The 15,454-nt window shown below is 34.5% G+C and overlaps 1 protein-coding gene across 5 annotated transcripts in view, besides 2 other annotated features; it reads right to left on the bottom strand.

Moving 5' to 3' along the window:
- The window catches only part of TRHDE (thyrotropin releasing hormone degrading enzyme), a 583,493-nt gene that overhangs the window by 135,877 nt on the left and 432,162 nt on the right, over window positions 1-15,454 (bottom strand). The window lies entirely within an intron of this gene.
- Window positions 13,934-14,515: an enhancer, noted in NCBI's record as "NANOG-H3K27ac-H3K4me1 hESC enhancer chr12:72914147-72914728 (GRCh37/hg19 assembly coordinates)". NCBI's record gives its function as "activates a minimal SCP1, AML or CMV promoter by ChIP-STARR-seq in primed H9 embryonic stem cells {active_cell/tissue: H9 hESC(primed)}" and the evidence as "EXISTENCE:reporter gene assay evidence [ECO:0000049][PMID:30033119]".
- Window positions 14,516-15,098: an enhancer, noted in NCBI's record as "NANOG-H3K27ac-H3K4me1 hESC enhancer chr12:72913564-72914146 (GRCh37/hg19 assembly coordinates)". NCBI's record gives its function as "activates a minimal SCP1, AML or CMV promoter by ChIP-STARR-seq in primed H9 embryonic stem cells {active_cell/tissue: H9 hESC(primed)}" and the evidence as "EXISTENCE:reporter gene assay evidence [ECO:0000049][PMID:30033119]".

Raw genomic sequence — 15,454 nt, 5'->3', positions numbered from 1 at the left:
CCTTACACACTTATGTTTTAATCATGCTTATTTATATCAGTTGCAATGTTAATCCTTTGTGATCCTATATTCTGAGCTCTATACATTATTAAAAGCACAGGAAAAGCCCATACCATAGTATAGTCCACACAGCTATACTGCCACCATTAATAATAATGATAATGATAATAATATTTCCATCAAAATTTTTCTTAGAATTAATTTAAATTATTCATATAAAGTACTTGGTACAGTGTTTGGTATATAATAAACTTCAAAAATGTATGTAGGTATTGTTATCTTCATCATCATCAATATCATCTTTTTATGCTAGCTCCCTGCCCCCCAAAATTGAGTACACAGTAGTCAATCTCCCCTGTCAAGAAATTCAGCATATATCTTTCACTGGGACCGTACATTCTTTGAGCATTCTCAGGCAATGGCATTCAAACTGGGTGGTCTATACTCAAGATAATAGGAGACCAAAAAGGTATTCAAGGAGGACCATAGATACCAGCAACAAGAAAACAAAGATAAGAAACTTTCCACAACTATGTTAGTTCTCAATGTTTTTCTCTCCTCCACAGTCATAAATTATTTAAGTCTGAACTAAGCAATTTGTCAAATTATTTTAAATCACTAGCTAATTGTTTCACATGACTTTGTCTCCTTCTCACAACTACATGTAGGTCATTTAACTACATTAATCTCCTTTAACTAGATTATTTAAACTAACCGTTGGCATATCTGTTAGTTGTTGATGATATAACTTTTCCATTGCAAATGAAACATGATCCTGGCTAAAAGAAGTATCCACCAACTCCTTCCTAGTTTCAAATCAGCAATCCAGACTATGAGATTGCAGCCTATACCCAGGTACTCATCAATCTCCTCTGCCATGAAATTCAGCATATATCTTTCACTGAGGCCGTATGTTTTTTCAGTATTCTCAGGTAATGGCATTCAAACAGGGTAGTCTATATTCAAGATAATATGAGACCAAAAAGTATTCAAAGAGGATCACAGATATCAGAGACAAAAAAACAAAAACTTTCAACAGTGTAGGAAATAGCATTTGCATGAAAGCATTCAACTCAAGAAATTTGAAGCATAACAATACTGTCCCATTAAATGAATGTACATAGAAGGATAAAACATAAAAGCAAAAAAAAAAAAAAACAAATAGAAAACAAAGAAATGGTTGAGAAGATGAAAAATAAAACATAAAGAGTCCATGAAAAAACTAATAAAATAGCAAAGCTCCGAGAAAGAAAGTAATAGAGGTAAAAAAGAAGAAAAGGAGAATAAAATAATGCAAATACTAAAAATGGGCACATAGCTACAGAAAAAAGTTTTTAAAACTAAAATAAGAATATTCTAGAAACATATACTAATAAATATGAAAACTCAGATTAGAAGAAATAATTTTCAGCTGGGCATGGTGGCTCACGCCTGTAATCCCAGCACTTTGGGAGTCCAGGGTGGGCAGATCACAAGGTCAGGAAATCGAGAACATCTTGGCCAACATGGTGAAACCCCATCTCTACTAAAAATACAAAAATTAGCTGGGTGTGGTGGTGCACACCTGTAGTTCCAGCTACTCTGGAGGCTGAGGCAGGAGAATAGCTTGAACCTGGGAGACCGAGCTTGCAGTGAGCTGAGATCACGCCACTGCGTTCCAGCCTGGGTGACAAGAGCAAAACTCCATCTCAAACAAAAAAAAAAAGAATTTTCTCTAAAATCATAATGTCACTAAAGAAGAAGTAATGGTTTAAAAATAAGAAATACACCAAAAACAAACAACAACAAACACATATACCAATCCAGGACAGTTTTACAGGCAAATAAACTTTTAAGGAAACACTGTCACATATTACCCTTGTTTTAGATAAAGTACTATAAAGGAATTGAAAATGAGTACAAGCTTTTCAACAATTTCTATGATGCTGTGTAACTGATATGCAAACTGGACAATGTAAAATATAGTCCAATATCCTTCATATGATCATGTATGCAAATATATACATAATTGATGGGATAAATACCACATATATAATATAGACTAATATAAAGACAAGTTAATATATATTATATGTGATAATACAATAAATAATATAATCTATATATAATATAGATTCTATGAAGAGAGAGAAAATATTTAAGTAGAATTCATTCCAGAAATTTAATAATTGTTTAATAGCAAACATATTATAATTAATTGCATTAATAGTGGAGACAAATTGTTTAATCATCTCAAATGTAGGAAAACCATTTAATATTACTTAGCATTCATTCATTCTTATTCAAAATAATAAGATATCTTAATAAACTAGGAAAAGAAGGGGACCATTAACAATAAAGGCAATCTTTAAAAAATACACTCAATAGTGAAACATGAGATGCATTCTTCTTAAAGTTGAAAATAAGAATTCACTCTACTAATATTTCTATTCAAAAGTATAATAAAATGAACGAATGAAATTTAAAAAATAAAGCAGTAAATTATCATAATTCAAAGATGATGTGAAAGTTCTCACAGAAATCTAAAAGAATATATAGAAGCAATATATAAAATCAATAAAAGAGTATAGCAAAGAGATTATTTATTCATTAAGTTAATCTCTGACATGAGATTAATGAATAAAATAAAAAGAATATGTGTTACTAAAATTGAATTTAAGGAATTAATTTATTGAGTCTTATTCTCAAAAGGAAAAGTACAAACAAATATTATAAAACAAAACAAGAAAAATTTCAAAATTGTACAGAGTTTTCATGGAGAAAATTATAGAACTTAACCAAACACACAAGGATGTAAAAATGAAGAACTATATTCTTTAGAAAGCTAGAAAAAGTTACTGCAAAAATGTCAAATATCCTAAAATTAACCTGCAAACTTCTCAAAATAATTTCTTTTTCACAGAAATTGTCTTGATCTGAAAATTCACATGGATTAGCAAAGAGTAAACAACAGCAATTTTGAAATAGAAAAAGATGGTGAATCATCTCTTTCAATAACAAAACTATAAAGTTGTAGTGGTTAGCCCTATGACAGTAATGTTGGAGCAGAAATAAACATATAAACTAGGGACCAGATCAAGGGACTGCAGATATACCAATACTGATATCTGTGATAGCTGACAGAGATGGTATGTGATACCAGCAGAATAAGAGCAGGGAATTCAGTAAATCACACTAGAATGATTTGTTACCTAAACTAAAATTAAATTACATTGGACAGCACAACATCAACGAAGAAATATCACCAAAAAATACCCAAATGGATGATTACAGAACTCAATATACAATGCAAAACTTTAAAAATATTAGGAGAAAATGAAAAAAAGCACATCTTTATGAATTTGGGATAAAGGAGGATACTTAAGCAAAACAAAACAAAAAGTATGAAGTATAAAGGAGAAAATGTACAGACTACATCTGAACTTTAAAATCTATATGATAAAAGACATCATAAATTCACAGACAAGCTGCAGTACTATTAGCAATGAAAGATTAGTATCCAGAATGCAAACAAAAAGCAACTCTCATTAATTAATTATTAAAATGAATAGGAAAACAGATTAAAAAACAAAGACCCCATTGGAAAATGGGCAATGGATATAAATAGAAAATTCAAAAAGTAAGCAACCCAAACGGCAATAAATACATGAAAAACATTTAATCTCATTAACAAACAAATAAGTATAAATTAAAACAATAAGAAAGCATTTCCTAGCCACTGACCAGACAAAATTTTGAGAATTTAGCAATAATAAGCACAGATGAGGATGTGAGAAAACAGGATGTTCTCAAACTCTCTGGTGGGAGTGTGTACATAGGTACAAATGCTTTGGGGAAGAAAATGTTATGCTAAAATAAATGTTAAGATTAGTTTATTTGTGCATTTAACAAACAATTATTGAGTGCCTGCTGTGTAAGGCACTTTGATAGGGTCTGAAAATGATGCAGAGAACAAACCAAATAAAGCTTTCATGCAGTTTATATTCTAGACAAAAGAGGCAGTTAGTAAACAAAGAAACAACAATAATATCAAATACCCATTATTGCTTTGAAAATAAATAAAGCAGGGTTAGGGGATAGAGTGTGCTGGAGAATAGGCTCTCATATGTTAGGTAAGATAATCAGGAAAGATTTCTTTAATAAATTGACATGGAGCAGAGAAAGGAATCAAATGAAGAAGCAAGCCATGTTGATGACTGAGGAAGAACATTCCAGGCAGAGAGAACAAGCATAACCGGATTTTGAAATCTAGAAGTCTGGAGAGAAAGTAGGGCTAGAAGTCCCAGGCTCCCACAGAGAGCAAGAATAGATGAAGAAGACAAAAAAAGAAAAAAAAAAACCTGAAGAATAGGTCCTGGGAGTTCCAGTATTTAGAGGTTGAGAAAAGTAATTAAGTTCCTCAAAGAGATGAAAAAGAAATGGCCAATGAGCTGGTTAAAGTTAAAAAAAAAAAAAAAAAAAAAAAGCTTCTAGGAAACAAAATGAAGAAAGTGTTTCAAACGTAAAATGATCATTACAAAGTGTGCTTAAGAAAGCAAGTCAGCTACCATGCAGACTGGATTTTGCAACATGGAATTAATTTTTGAGTTGACAAGAAAAGTTTGAGTAAATGATAAGAATGAAAGCTTAATTGGGGGATTTTAAAAGAAAAAGAGAAGAGAGAAATCAGGCTTTTGCTCTAAGAGTGTAAAGATATAAAAATAGTCTGGGTGGAGTAAGTCAAGGGAATTTTTACCAGGATCAAAATATTTTAACATTCTACAGAGGGAAGAATAATTGAGTAGAGAAGGAAAAATGGATGTTTCAAAAGACAAGAAACAGCTCAACGTGACCAACATCCTAGAGTAGACAAGAGGATGGAGTCCGGTACAGAGTGGAGGCATTGGCCTATATCATAGTACAGACCTTCATTCACTGTGACAAATAGCAAGGGAAGCAGAGTATACAGGAATTGATAGGTGAGATGCACAGGGTTGGAGGCGTAAGAACATTGATTTGTTTATTGCTTCTAATATTTTAGTGAAATAAAAGCAGAGTAATCAGATGAGAGTGAGGAGGGATAACAGAATGTGAACACTAAGAAAAAAGAAGTAGGCATTAGGTGTGTGGAAGAATGATAAATTGAGTTGGGAAATGCGGATGCATGTACCTCCCAACCCCACAATTTCTCTACCTGGATACACAGAACGACCAACACTCACATATGAACACAAGGACACATGTAGAAAGAGGTCATTTGCAACACTGTTTCTAATTTCTAATTCTAATTTCAGTAGTGTATAATAGACAAAAACTTCAAACAAACGTCAGCCTGTGAATAGGGGGATGGATTTATAAACTGTGCTTTTTACATATTGTATAGCAGCAAAGATAAATAAAATAGAGGTCTGAGTATTAAAATATGAATAAGAGTTATGTCTCTTTAATGATTACCTCTGGGAATAGAGGGAGGGACAGGGGGTTAAGAAAGGGATTAGAGGACTTCAATGTTTTATTCTTTAAAACAAGTCATATGTAAATACATCAAACAAAATAATAATAACTGCTGACTTTGGGTCTTGAGTATATGTATATCTGGCAATATCCTCTGTATGTTTAAAAATTTCTCGGTTGAGATTTTTATTTAAAAATAACCAACAGGAGTCTCTGGGAAAATTGCTAACCTGCAACACCTTATAATTAATCTCATTTAGTTCAGTCATATTTTATATAAATTTCTTACTCTTCTTGGCTTAAGCACCATGATCTATCTCCAGAGCCTTCTAAGAGTATTTTAGTCCTATAGTTTAATTTTTTGGTTTTTATTTAAAATAAAATTATCTGACAGAGGAAAAATGAAATAAGTTAAATTTAGTGAGACACTCGAGGTAACTTTTAAACAATGAAGATCTAATGAATAATAATTTTATTTTAAGAATAAAATTATTAGTGAATATATTATAATCATCGTTAAAGTATAAAGGTATTAGCAAAGCAATGGTTTAAAAGTGCTAAAAATCTTTATTTTGTTTATTTCTGAATCCAATGGAAGACTAAAATGCCCCAAACTAATAACAGCATTGAATGAGTAAAACTAATTTAATGTTGTTTTAAGAAGGGCCTGTGCAGTGGCTCACACCTGTAATCCCAGCACTTTGGGAGGCAGAGGCGGGGGGTCACGAGATCAGGAGTTCGAGACCAGCCTGAACAACATGGTGAAACCCCGTCTCCACTAAAAATACAAAAATTAGCCAGGCTTGGTGGTACACTCCTATAATCCTAGCTACTCAGGAGGATGAGGCAGGAGAATTACTTGAACCCGGCAGGTGGAGGTTGCAGTGAGCTGAGGACAAAGCGAGACTCCGTCTCAAAAAAAAAAGAAGCTCAGAAAACACTATTTGTTTGTAAAAAATCTAAATATTTTTCAGTTCTAAATTCAGTTCAGAACTTGTGAGTAACAGGCTGTAGAATAACTACACGAAGACAACATCATTTGTGTTTTTAATATCAGGCAACAAATAGTATTCTTGTCATTTATTGTAGAATTGTTCCTTGTCAGAGTTAAACTATCACAGCTAGAAAGAATATGAAATCTAGAGTATTAAGAAAAATACGTGATTAATGTTAGTGAAGAAGGCATTTCAAAGGTACTAAATAAACAAGGCTTTTAAAAGATGCTTGCATAATATTGTGCCAGAAAACGTCACAAATAAAATACTTAACAGAATTATTACAAATTAGATTTTAGGTACATTTTGAATACAAAATACTTTCCCAATTTCCATCTAATATAAAAGATGGCATAATCTTAAAGAAGCATGGCTGGAATTGGCTGAATGGTAGCAACTTAAGTAAATGTGGTTTATCATGCAAAAAACGATATATATTAGTTTTATAAAGTTTTAGTGTCAGATATTTTGTCTGAAAGTTGAGCATAGTGTTAGCCTTTAAAAAGTTATTTATTATGCCACATATTTTATGAATAATGTAAACATTCACTTTTGCAACAAAATGCCAAATACTTGAATATTTGAAAGTTATTCATAAAGTAGTTTAAAGCACATTTAGTTACATGATGAAATTCATACTTTTTCTAGTTTTTCTTTTCTAATATTTTATTGTGTATGTTGATGTATATAATATTGATGTGTATAAAATACATATAGCATATGTCAGTCCTTTCATATTTTTAACATATTAAAATAAGAAAAAATAATGGGAATGTGATTCTTACGAAAATAATATTTTCTTGAATCTGTCTCTTCTTCGTAATCTCTCCCTCAGACTCTGGCTTATTTTGTCTTTTTTTTTTTTTTAACTCCTCTTACTATCATTCCCAATAATATTCCCTTTTGAGAGACTGCGAAAAGAGTTATCTGTCTGGTCCCCTGCCTCTGATGGCCATTTCTTCTGGTCCCTGAAACAGATTCTGTACTTCCCATTATCCTTATTTTTGTATACGTTCTCCATGCCTGAAATTCCACAATTGCCCTAAATCGAATTCTTTATGCGACATAACTGTAGTATCCCATATTTCTAAGAAATCTTTCCCAATTCATGTCAAAATTAAAACTGTTTTCACAATTTTATAGCACTTGTTTTTGATAAATAACTTAGGAAATAGAACAATCTGTCTTATTTGAGAATTTACACGTAACACATACTTGCCATACCATTAGGAATCAGGAATGGAGGAGCCATGCTCTGCAAAACCCAGTATTTTGCTTCATGGCTAGACATTCAACACATACCTGTTAAACTAGATAACTGAGTAACTGCACTAATGTGCAAAATATTAGTAAGAAATGATAGGAAAAAATAAAACACTAAATAAGCATAAGAGCAGCATTATTTGAGACAAAGACTAATCCTTGGTAAATATTTCTTCTGTTTTCTAGAAACAACCCAAGTATAGATGTCAAGAAAATAATTGTTTAAAACTAGATGCAGAATTTACTACTGATTTACATTGACTCCTCTTTTCTGATTCCCAAACTTACAATTCCCTTTTATTGATTTTCCCGAATACTCTTAATATATGTATCTTCATCATTTTTCTTAATCTCATCCACTTAATCATTAAATTGTAATTCAGAATCATAAAAGTTCATTTTGGTATTATATCAAAGTCATAAAGACACATGGCTACAAAACTCAGATATCCTTGTGCAGACACACCTCACTCACTCTACATTCAGCTGAAACATAACCAAGTATATCCTTAATGAAAGTGACATTTAGTAAAGGATGAACTATGGCAGAGGACAGGCACTTTTGTGTAATCCTTTTGTTGCCAGAGAAAATTTGTTTGCAGGGTATGAAGAAATGATTTTACAGTATTTGAGAAAATATCTTTGCATATTTATGTTTACAGAATAATTGTGAATTATGACTTGTCATCAACAAAACATTTAGAAAGTACAGTCATCCCAACAACATAAAATATCAATTACGAGCTTAATAACCAAGCCCAAAGAAGCTGGAGTCTTAAGGTAATATTTCTAAATCTTCTACCAAAAGCTGACAAAAAGTAAACAATTGTTATTGTGTGAGTGGCTAAGAAAAAGGACTTTAGCAATAAATTATCTGAAAAATGTGTAAAGAAATCAATCCAGTCAAACAACAGTAGAATACATGTATTTGCTCCCGAGTATCCTGAAACTGTTCAGAATGGACATGATATTGGGATATAAACTATCATGCAGCAAACACATTATATTGAACGTGATTTGCAATAACTATGTGCTGAAAAAGGTTATAGGTAAAAATGTCAGAGGACAGCAGAAAAAATCCATAGATAAGATAAAATGTTTTAAAAACTAGATATAATTTTTTTCTGGAAAAATGGAGGCCAATCAAACACTTAAGAATAATTTTCAAATGTACAAAAGTTTTATATGAAGTAGATATGGTCAGCTGATTCTCAACTACACTGGGAGTTAAATAACGACCGCAGGGGAAAAAAATGACTGAAACAGAAATACGAAAGGCAGAAAGTGTTCCTTAAACCATGAAAGCCTTACTATTTGGCATTAATCACTAATGGTATATGTAGATTGTTTTTCAAAAAGTAGTTGAATAAACTATATTTTCTTTTTGTATTAAAAATTTAAGTATTGATCTGCAAGAAAGTAGAATAACTTTCTCTGTAAAGACTTTCCACAATCAAACAGCTGCTCCCAAACTGGTTCCTACCATAGCTCACTGATACTGAAAAGAAGTGAATAGCCGAAAAATCACCAACTTTCTCTCTCTCTCTCTCTCTCTCACACACACACACACACACACACACACACACACAAACCACACACAAAACATGAGAAGTCTAGTATAGTATTTCAAGGCTTCTTGTGATTATATATGGTAAAGGCAAACAAATTTAAGTATAAATTTCAATAATGTCATCCTAGGATATACCAGGCACAATCTTTTAATTTGATTTTTAATTAGATTAATAATCCAATTACTATTAAATATCTCATCATAATATATTATTTAGTTTTAAAAGACTTGATATTTTTAGAAATGATAAACCTTGGGAAAAAATTAAAACTGGGTTTTGACTTCAAAATAGAATATTTTAAAATTTAAAAACAATGCACATATCTAAAGGACAAAGTTATTTTATTCTTATTTTAAATGGAGATTCTAGCTTTTCAAAACCATTTTTCCTAACCACGAATATGTTCAAGTGACTTTTTAAAATACCATTAAATTGAAGTAAATAAGAGTACACTTTTGTTCACAGGGTAATTTGTGTAAACATCTATAGCTTGTTCATCTAATTCAGAAACTCCAGATTCAAATATGTCTTAGTATAAGCTTTGTCTTGGATGGATAAATGCATCATTGAGAACAGGTGTTAAAAGATTCCATGGAAAATTAAGGAAATTTAAGTCAAGGACACGAGTCTTGGAGGTCAGTTCTCTGGAATTTCAGGCATACTTTCCACATGAAAAGGATTCACTAGACATAACCATAAATAACTGTGCCCTTCATGTGTGCCCAGGATTGTCTGTTTTCCTTGAAGACCAGGATACATAAGCTGCTTCCTCTTTCAGACAAAGTGTTGCGGGGCCTCCTCTTATAGTAGAAGCTTTATTTAGCAGTTGTGGTGAACATCTCATGTGTTCTGACACGACAGACAAGGACAAAAGCATAGTATACTTTCTCATTAAGCATCCATATGAGGAAATCTTCAAGGATGGGCTCGCATAAGAGGCTGATGAGATTATTTACACAGATGGGCCATCACTGAGTTCAAGAACAATATTGAATAAAGCCATGCTTCTCAAACTCCACTGTGCTATAAAACTGAATTTACCATCCTGCTAGATCCATAATAAATAAAATATGTATTACAAGTGAATACCAGCATAACTGATGTTTCCATCATACCAATTAATCTGCAAAGGAAATGGACCAATTGAGATCTGCACCTTGTTTTATCACTCATATATATGTAGAGAAGCAAGAAAAAAAATCTTGTCTAGGGCATGGGCTTGGTAACTGAAAGACACTTTGTAATCTTCACTGTTGAATTTACTCATACATGATATGAACGATTTTCTGGAAGCTAAGAAAATTATTTTACTCTACCAATATTTGCAGGATAAGGGAAATAATTGCTTGAGTAAGGTTTTCTCTATCTCCCTTTCTGCTATTCTGACTTCAGGGAGAGTTTACGGAGAGGATAAAATGCGCTGATTAAAGTTTCATCAAACCACCTTCAGCTGTTCTCAAAAAAATAAATTAGCCTCTTCATGTATATCATTGAGAAATGGATGATTTCTTTCTTTGCTTTTCTTCCAAAAAGGCAGAAGTCACAACTTCAGTGTGGATGCTGTGCACAGCAGAGGATAATGGAGACCAGGTTAGTATTGAGGACTTGATAAAATCTAGAAGTCCATCAGTGAGGTAAATAATCATCACCATCCCAGCTTGTAAAACAGGACAGCTTTCACTTCCGGCTTCTGCTTTTTGTTTTCAGAGTGGCAAAGCACAGATGTATTCTGTCCCTGGAGAATTTCAAAACTCAAAAACATATCGTCCAGGGAACTAAAACAAGCCATTTATCACAAAGCAAACTCTTCTGACAGTGGTGTATCACGAGCAGAATCAGCCCAAGTTTTTATGTCAAGACAAGCAAATACAGTCTTATTAGAGTGTATTCAGCAAGCCCATGTAAGAAATTCATTGTTTAAGGTTTTCATTGAAGGTGCAGTTTTGTGTAATGCCATTAAGCTAAATCAATGCAATCTGAAGTTTCAATATCTGAGTTAAAGGTAAGAAAATAATTTTTATAAAACATATTGTAGAACTGGCATTCCACAAATTACATTTTGGAAAGCACGACCTTTATAAAATAAAATTTCTCAAGATATGTATGTAAAAATAAACAATGCCCTTTACCCTAGGAACCTATAAGTAAGCATTTAACACTCTCTAAGCAAACATCCACATCACAGGTCCAGTTATGGCCTCTCCAAACTTTAGCTTTTTGTATGTGGCAGCAAGTTTCTACTTCTAGCTTTCTTCCATTCTTTTCCTATTAACCAAAAGAAGAAATATTGACAGTTGCTACTAACAGGAGCCTAGAAGAAATAAACACCCTAATACCTGGTAATCTAGCACCTTTTCATTTTAAAACAATTAAAAGTAACTTAACTTTCTTATGATTTAACACAGAGCAAATGTAAGAAAGAAAAAAAAAGCAAGTTACTCTTATATCCTTATTCTTCAGGAAAAAGAAACGGTGTTCTATTTTACTTGCGACAAGTTTCTCATGTAATCCACCAGCAACATCATGGCTTCTGCCTACAACAGGGTCACTGATAAGAGACATTAAAATAAGGTGATAAAAAACATTTGGTCTCAAAGCTATAAAAATGTTTTCTCAAGCAGAAGTGGAAAATGGTGAAAGATTTAGCTCTTAAAGTAAACAAAAGTGGAATTAGGAACAAAACTGCCATAAAGGGGCAGATCAATGGTCCGTCAGACTGTGAGCTGACAAATGCATCAGGGGATGTGGAGAGGCAGGTATGTTCATTACTCTCCATGATCTTCATTTCAGAGGTGAGGGGCATGCTCTGCATGTTCCTAAATTCTCCATCGGGTTTATAGAAGGCATCACAGGACACCAGAAAAAGGGATTATCACTTGGTGCTTGAGGAAAGTAATTTAGAGCAAACTAAAGAAGTTTTATTCTCCAGTATTTTTCAGAAGAGATGTGACTAGTTCAAACTAAACTCTTAAAAAGTTAAGAGGAACACTTATTAATAAAGTATGATATTGCTTCATAGCACAGAGCCATGTTTATTTTTCTTTCCAAGCTAGATGTTTAACAATAAAAAAAATCAAAACTCATTGCTGTTAGTAATCTGAAGCAATTAGAAATTCAATTTGCAAGACTACTTTAAAGCTTCTGTGGGCTTGGAGAGCAGGATTAATGACTGTTAAATTCATTGTAAATCCTGAACTATAAGTATTAGTTGTTGCTCACTATCTGCCAGTCACTGCACTAGGTGATAACTAGGATGTTTCTAAAAACTTTAATTTAAAAGGACATACAGATAGATGTAAATAATTACAAAATATAATAACTCTACTGAAAAAGAAATGAGTGTCTCTTCATGTTTTATGGGTAAGGTGCTCTATAAACATAAAAAGAAATCAAAGGTTAAGCAGTCTGGTGTAGGTGACTAAGAGCACAGACAGAATGGCCAGTGTTTGAATCCTGACTCCACCATTTACTAACTGCAATGCTGGGCAAGTTACTGCCTCAGTGTCCTCATCTGTAAAATGGAGATGGAAAGAGTAGTAATACAGCATGTGACTGCTGTAAGAATTAAATGACTTAATATACGTAAAAAACATACACAAAAGTATCTGGTACATAGTATTATATACATGTTAACTGAGGTTATTATTTCAGACGTAACTATCTCAAAACATGCTAACTTTTCCCTAACCCTACCACCACACTCATTTCAAACTGGAAAAACATTTTTAGGCATTAGACAGCACTTAAAACTCTTGCTTTTACTCTTAACAAATTTGACTACTGAAATAGTTTCAACGGCTCCAATTTAGTAGCAAGGTTCCTGCTGTGACAGACCCCCTTCCAGAAGGAAAATTATGTGGCAATAAATGTTTGCACATTTCATCTTAAAATCGTGGAGCTGGAAAACAGTTTGGGGAATATGTAAGCAAAACACAGATATTCAGCTGGTTGGTCATGCTTTACTTGGGCTTATAGTACTTACCAGGGGAATACATACCAAAAATTCTCTACTTTAAGCCAGATATTTTTATGGCACTGAGCTAACTGCATCCTATTGTAAAATGACAGCAGAGAGGCAGCACACAACTAAACGACACAAGTTGGTTTGCTTGGATGTGCTCTACTCTGTAGAAGCCAAACCATGTTTCTCAGAATTGCTGCGACTCACACTCTCCCCTCTACACCATGCTCATCTCCACTCAGGGTCTCTGAGCTCCAAGATAGCCTTGGCATAGCGCTTTTCTGAGCTCCTTATGCTGTTGGCTCAAATTCAGAGGGTAAGCCAGGAAATACTAAATAGGGTAAAATAGGGATTGAAGAGAAGGGAGGCAATGCAAATTAAAGTATCTCATCAAGGTAGACTCTTTGGGAATTATGAAATCATGAGACTGGTTTTGTAGGAAAGAATGAAATTGCATCTGAAAGTTATTTCCAAAAAGGGAAGAAATAAATGGTCAGATGAAAGGAAAAATTATTTGGATACATGTATAGTATTCTCTGCTGTGAAAGTCAATACCTACTTGACTATATGATCAGGCAATCACACACAGGGCAGAATTTGGATTCAGGAAGGTTGAGCTGAAATGTTGGTTCTGCTACTCACGAGCTATTATGAGTCTGGGCCAAATAATTTAACTATCTTTCAGCTTAAAGTTTAAATTGCATGATATCTGGTAAAACTCTGGGAACATAGCTAACACTGAATAAATAACAGTTAATGTGAAAAAAGTATAATTTTAAGTTAATACCAGTTTTATCTCATTCAAGCTTTTAATACGGTAATAAAAGAGAATATAGATGATAAAATTGTGCTATGTTGATGCGTGAACCTTATTACTTTAAGACTTAGATCGAACCCAGAGCTCCATTTCTAAAAAAGATGTCACTGTTTCAGGCAAAAATTTTCTGATGCTAAGAAGCTATAATTTGGTAAAGAAACAAAGGATTGAAAAAGTAAGTGAAGAAGATGGCCGAATAGGAACAGCTCCAGTCTACAGCTCCCAGCGTGAGCAACACAGAAGCCAGGTGATTTCTGCATTTCCATCTGAGGTACCGGGTTCATCTCACTAGGGAGTGCCAGAGAGTGGGCGCAGGTCAGTGGGTGCGCGCACCGTGCGCAAGCAGAAGCAGGGCGAGGCATTGCCTCACTCAGGAAGCGCAAAGGGTCAGGGAGTTCCCTTTCCTAGTCAAAGAAAGGCGTGACGGTCGGCACCTGGAAAATCAGGTCACTCCCACCCGAATACTGCGCTTTTCCGACGGGCTTAAAAAATGGCGCACCACGAGATTATATCCCGCACCTGGCTCGGAGGGTCTTACGCCCACGGAGTCTCGCTGATTGCTAGCACAGCAGTCTGAGATCAAACTGCAAGGCAGCAGCGAGACTGGGGGAGGGGCGCCCGCCATTGCCCAGGCTTGCTTAGGTAAACAAAGCAGCAGGGAAGCTGGAACTGGGTGGAGCCCACCACAGCTCAAGGAGGCCTGCCTGCCTCTGTAGGCTCCACCTCTGGGGGCAGGGCACAGACAAACAAAAAGACAGCAGTAACCTCTGCAGACTTAAGTGTCCCTGTCTGACAGCTTTGAAGAGAGCAGTGGTTCTCCCAGCACACAGCTGGACATCTGAGAACGGGCAGACTGCCTCCTGAAGTGGGTCCCTGACCCCTGACCCCCAAACAGCCTCACTGGGAGGCACCCCCTAGCAGCAGACTGACACCTCACAGGGCCAGGTACTCCAACAGACCTGCAGCTGAGGGTCCTGTCTGTTAGAAGGAAAACTAACAAACAGAAAGGACATCCACACCAAAAACCCATCTGTACATCACCATCATCAAAGACCAAAAGTAGATAAAACCACAAAGATGGGGAAAAAACAGAACAGAAAAACTGGAAACTCTAAAAAGCAGAGCACCTCTCCTCCTCCAAAGGAACGCAGTTCCTCACCAGCAATGGAATAAAGCTGGACGGAGAATGACTTTGACGAGCTGAGAGAGGAAGGCTTCAGATGATCAAATTACTCCGAGCTACTGGAGGACATTCAAACCAAAGGCAAAGAAGTTTAAAACTTTGAAAAAAGTTTAGAAGAATGTATAACTAGAATAACCAATACACAGAAGTGCTTAAAGGAGCTGATGGAGCTGAAAACCAAGGCTCGAGAACTACGTGAAGAATGCAGAAGCCTCAGGAGCCGATGCGATC

The sequence above is a fragment of the Homo sapiens genome, chromosome 12, assembly GCF_000001405.40.
Source record: "Homo sapiens chromosome 12, GRCh38.p14 Primary Assembly".
Classification (NCBI taxonomy): Eukaryota; Metazoa; Chordata; class Mammalia; order Primates; family Hominidae; genus Homo; species Homo sapiens.
The sequence above is the reverse complement of the archived record's forward strand: the minus strand, read 5'-3'. Positions and strand labels throughout refer to the sequence as shown.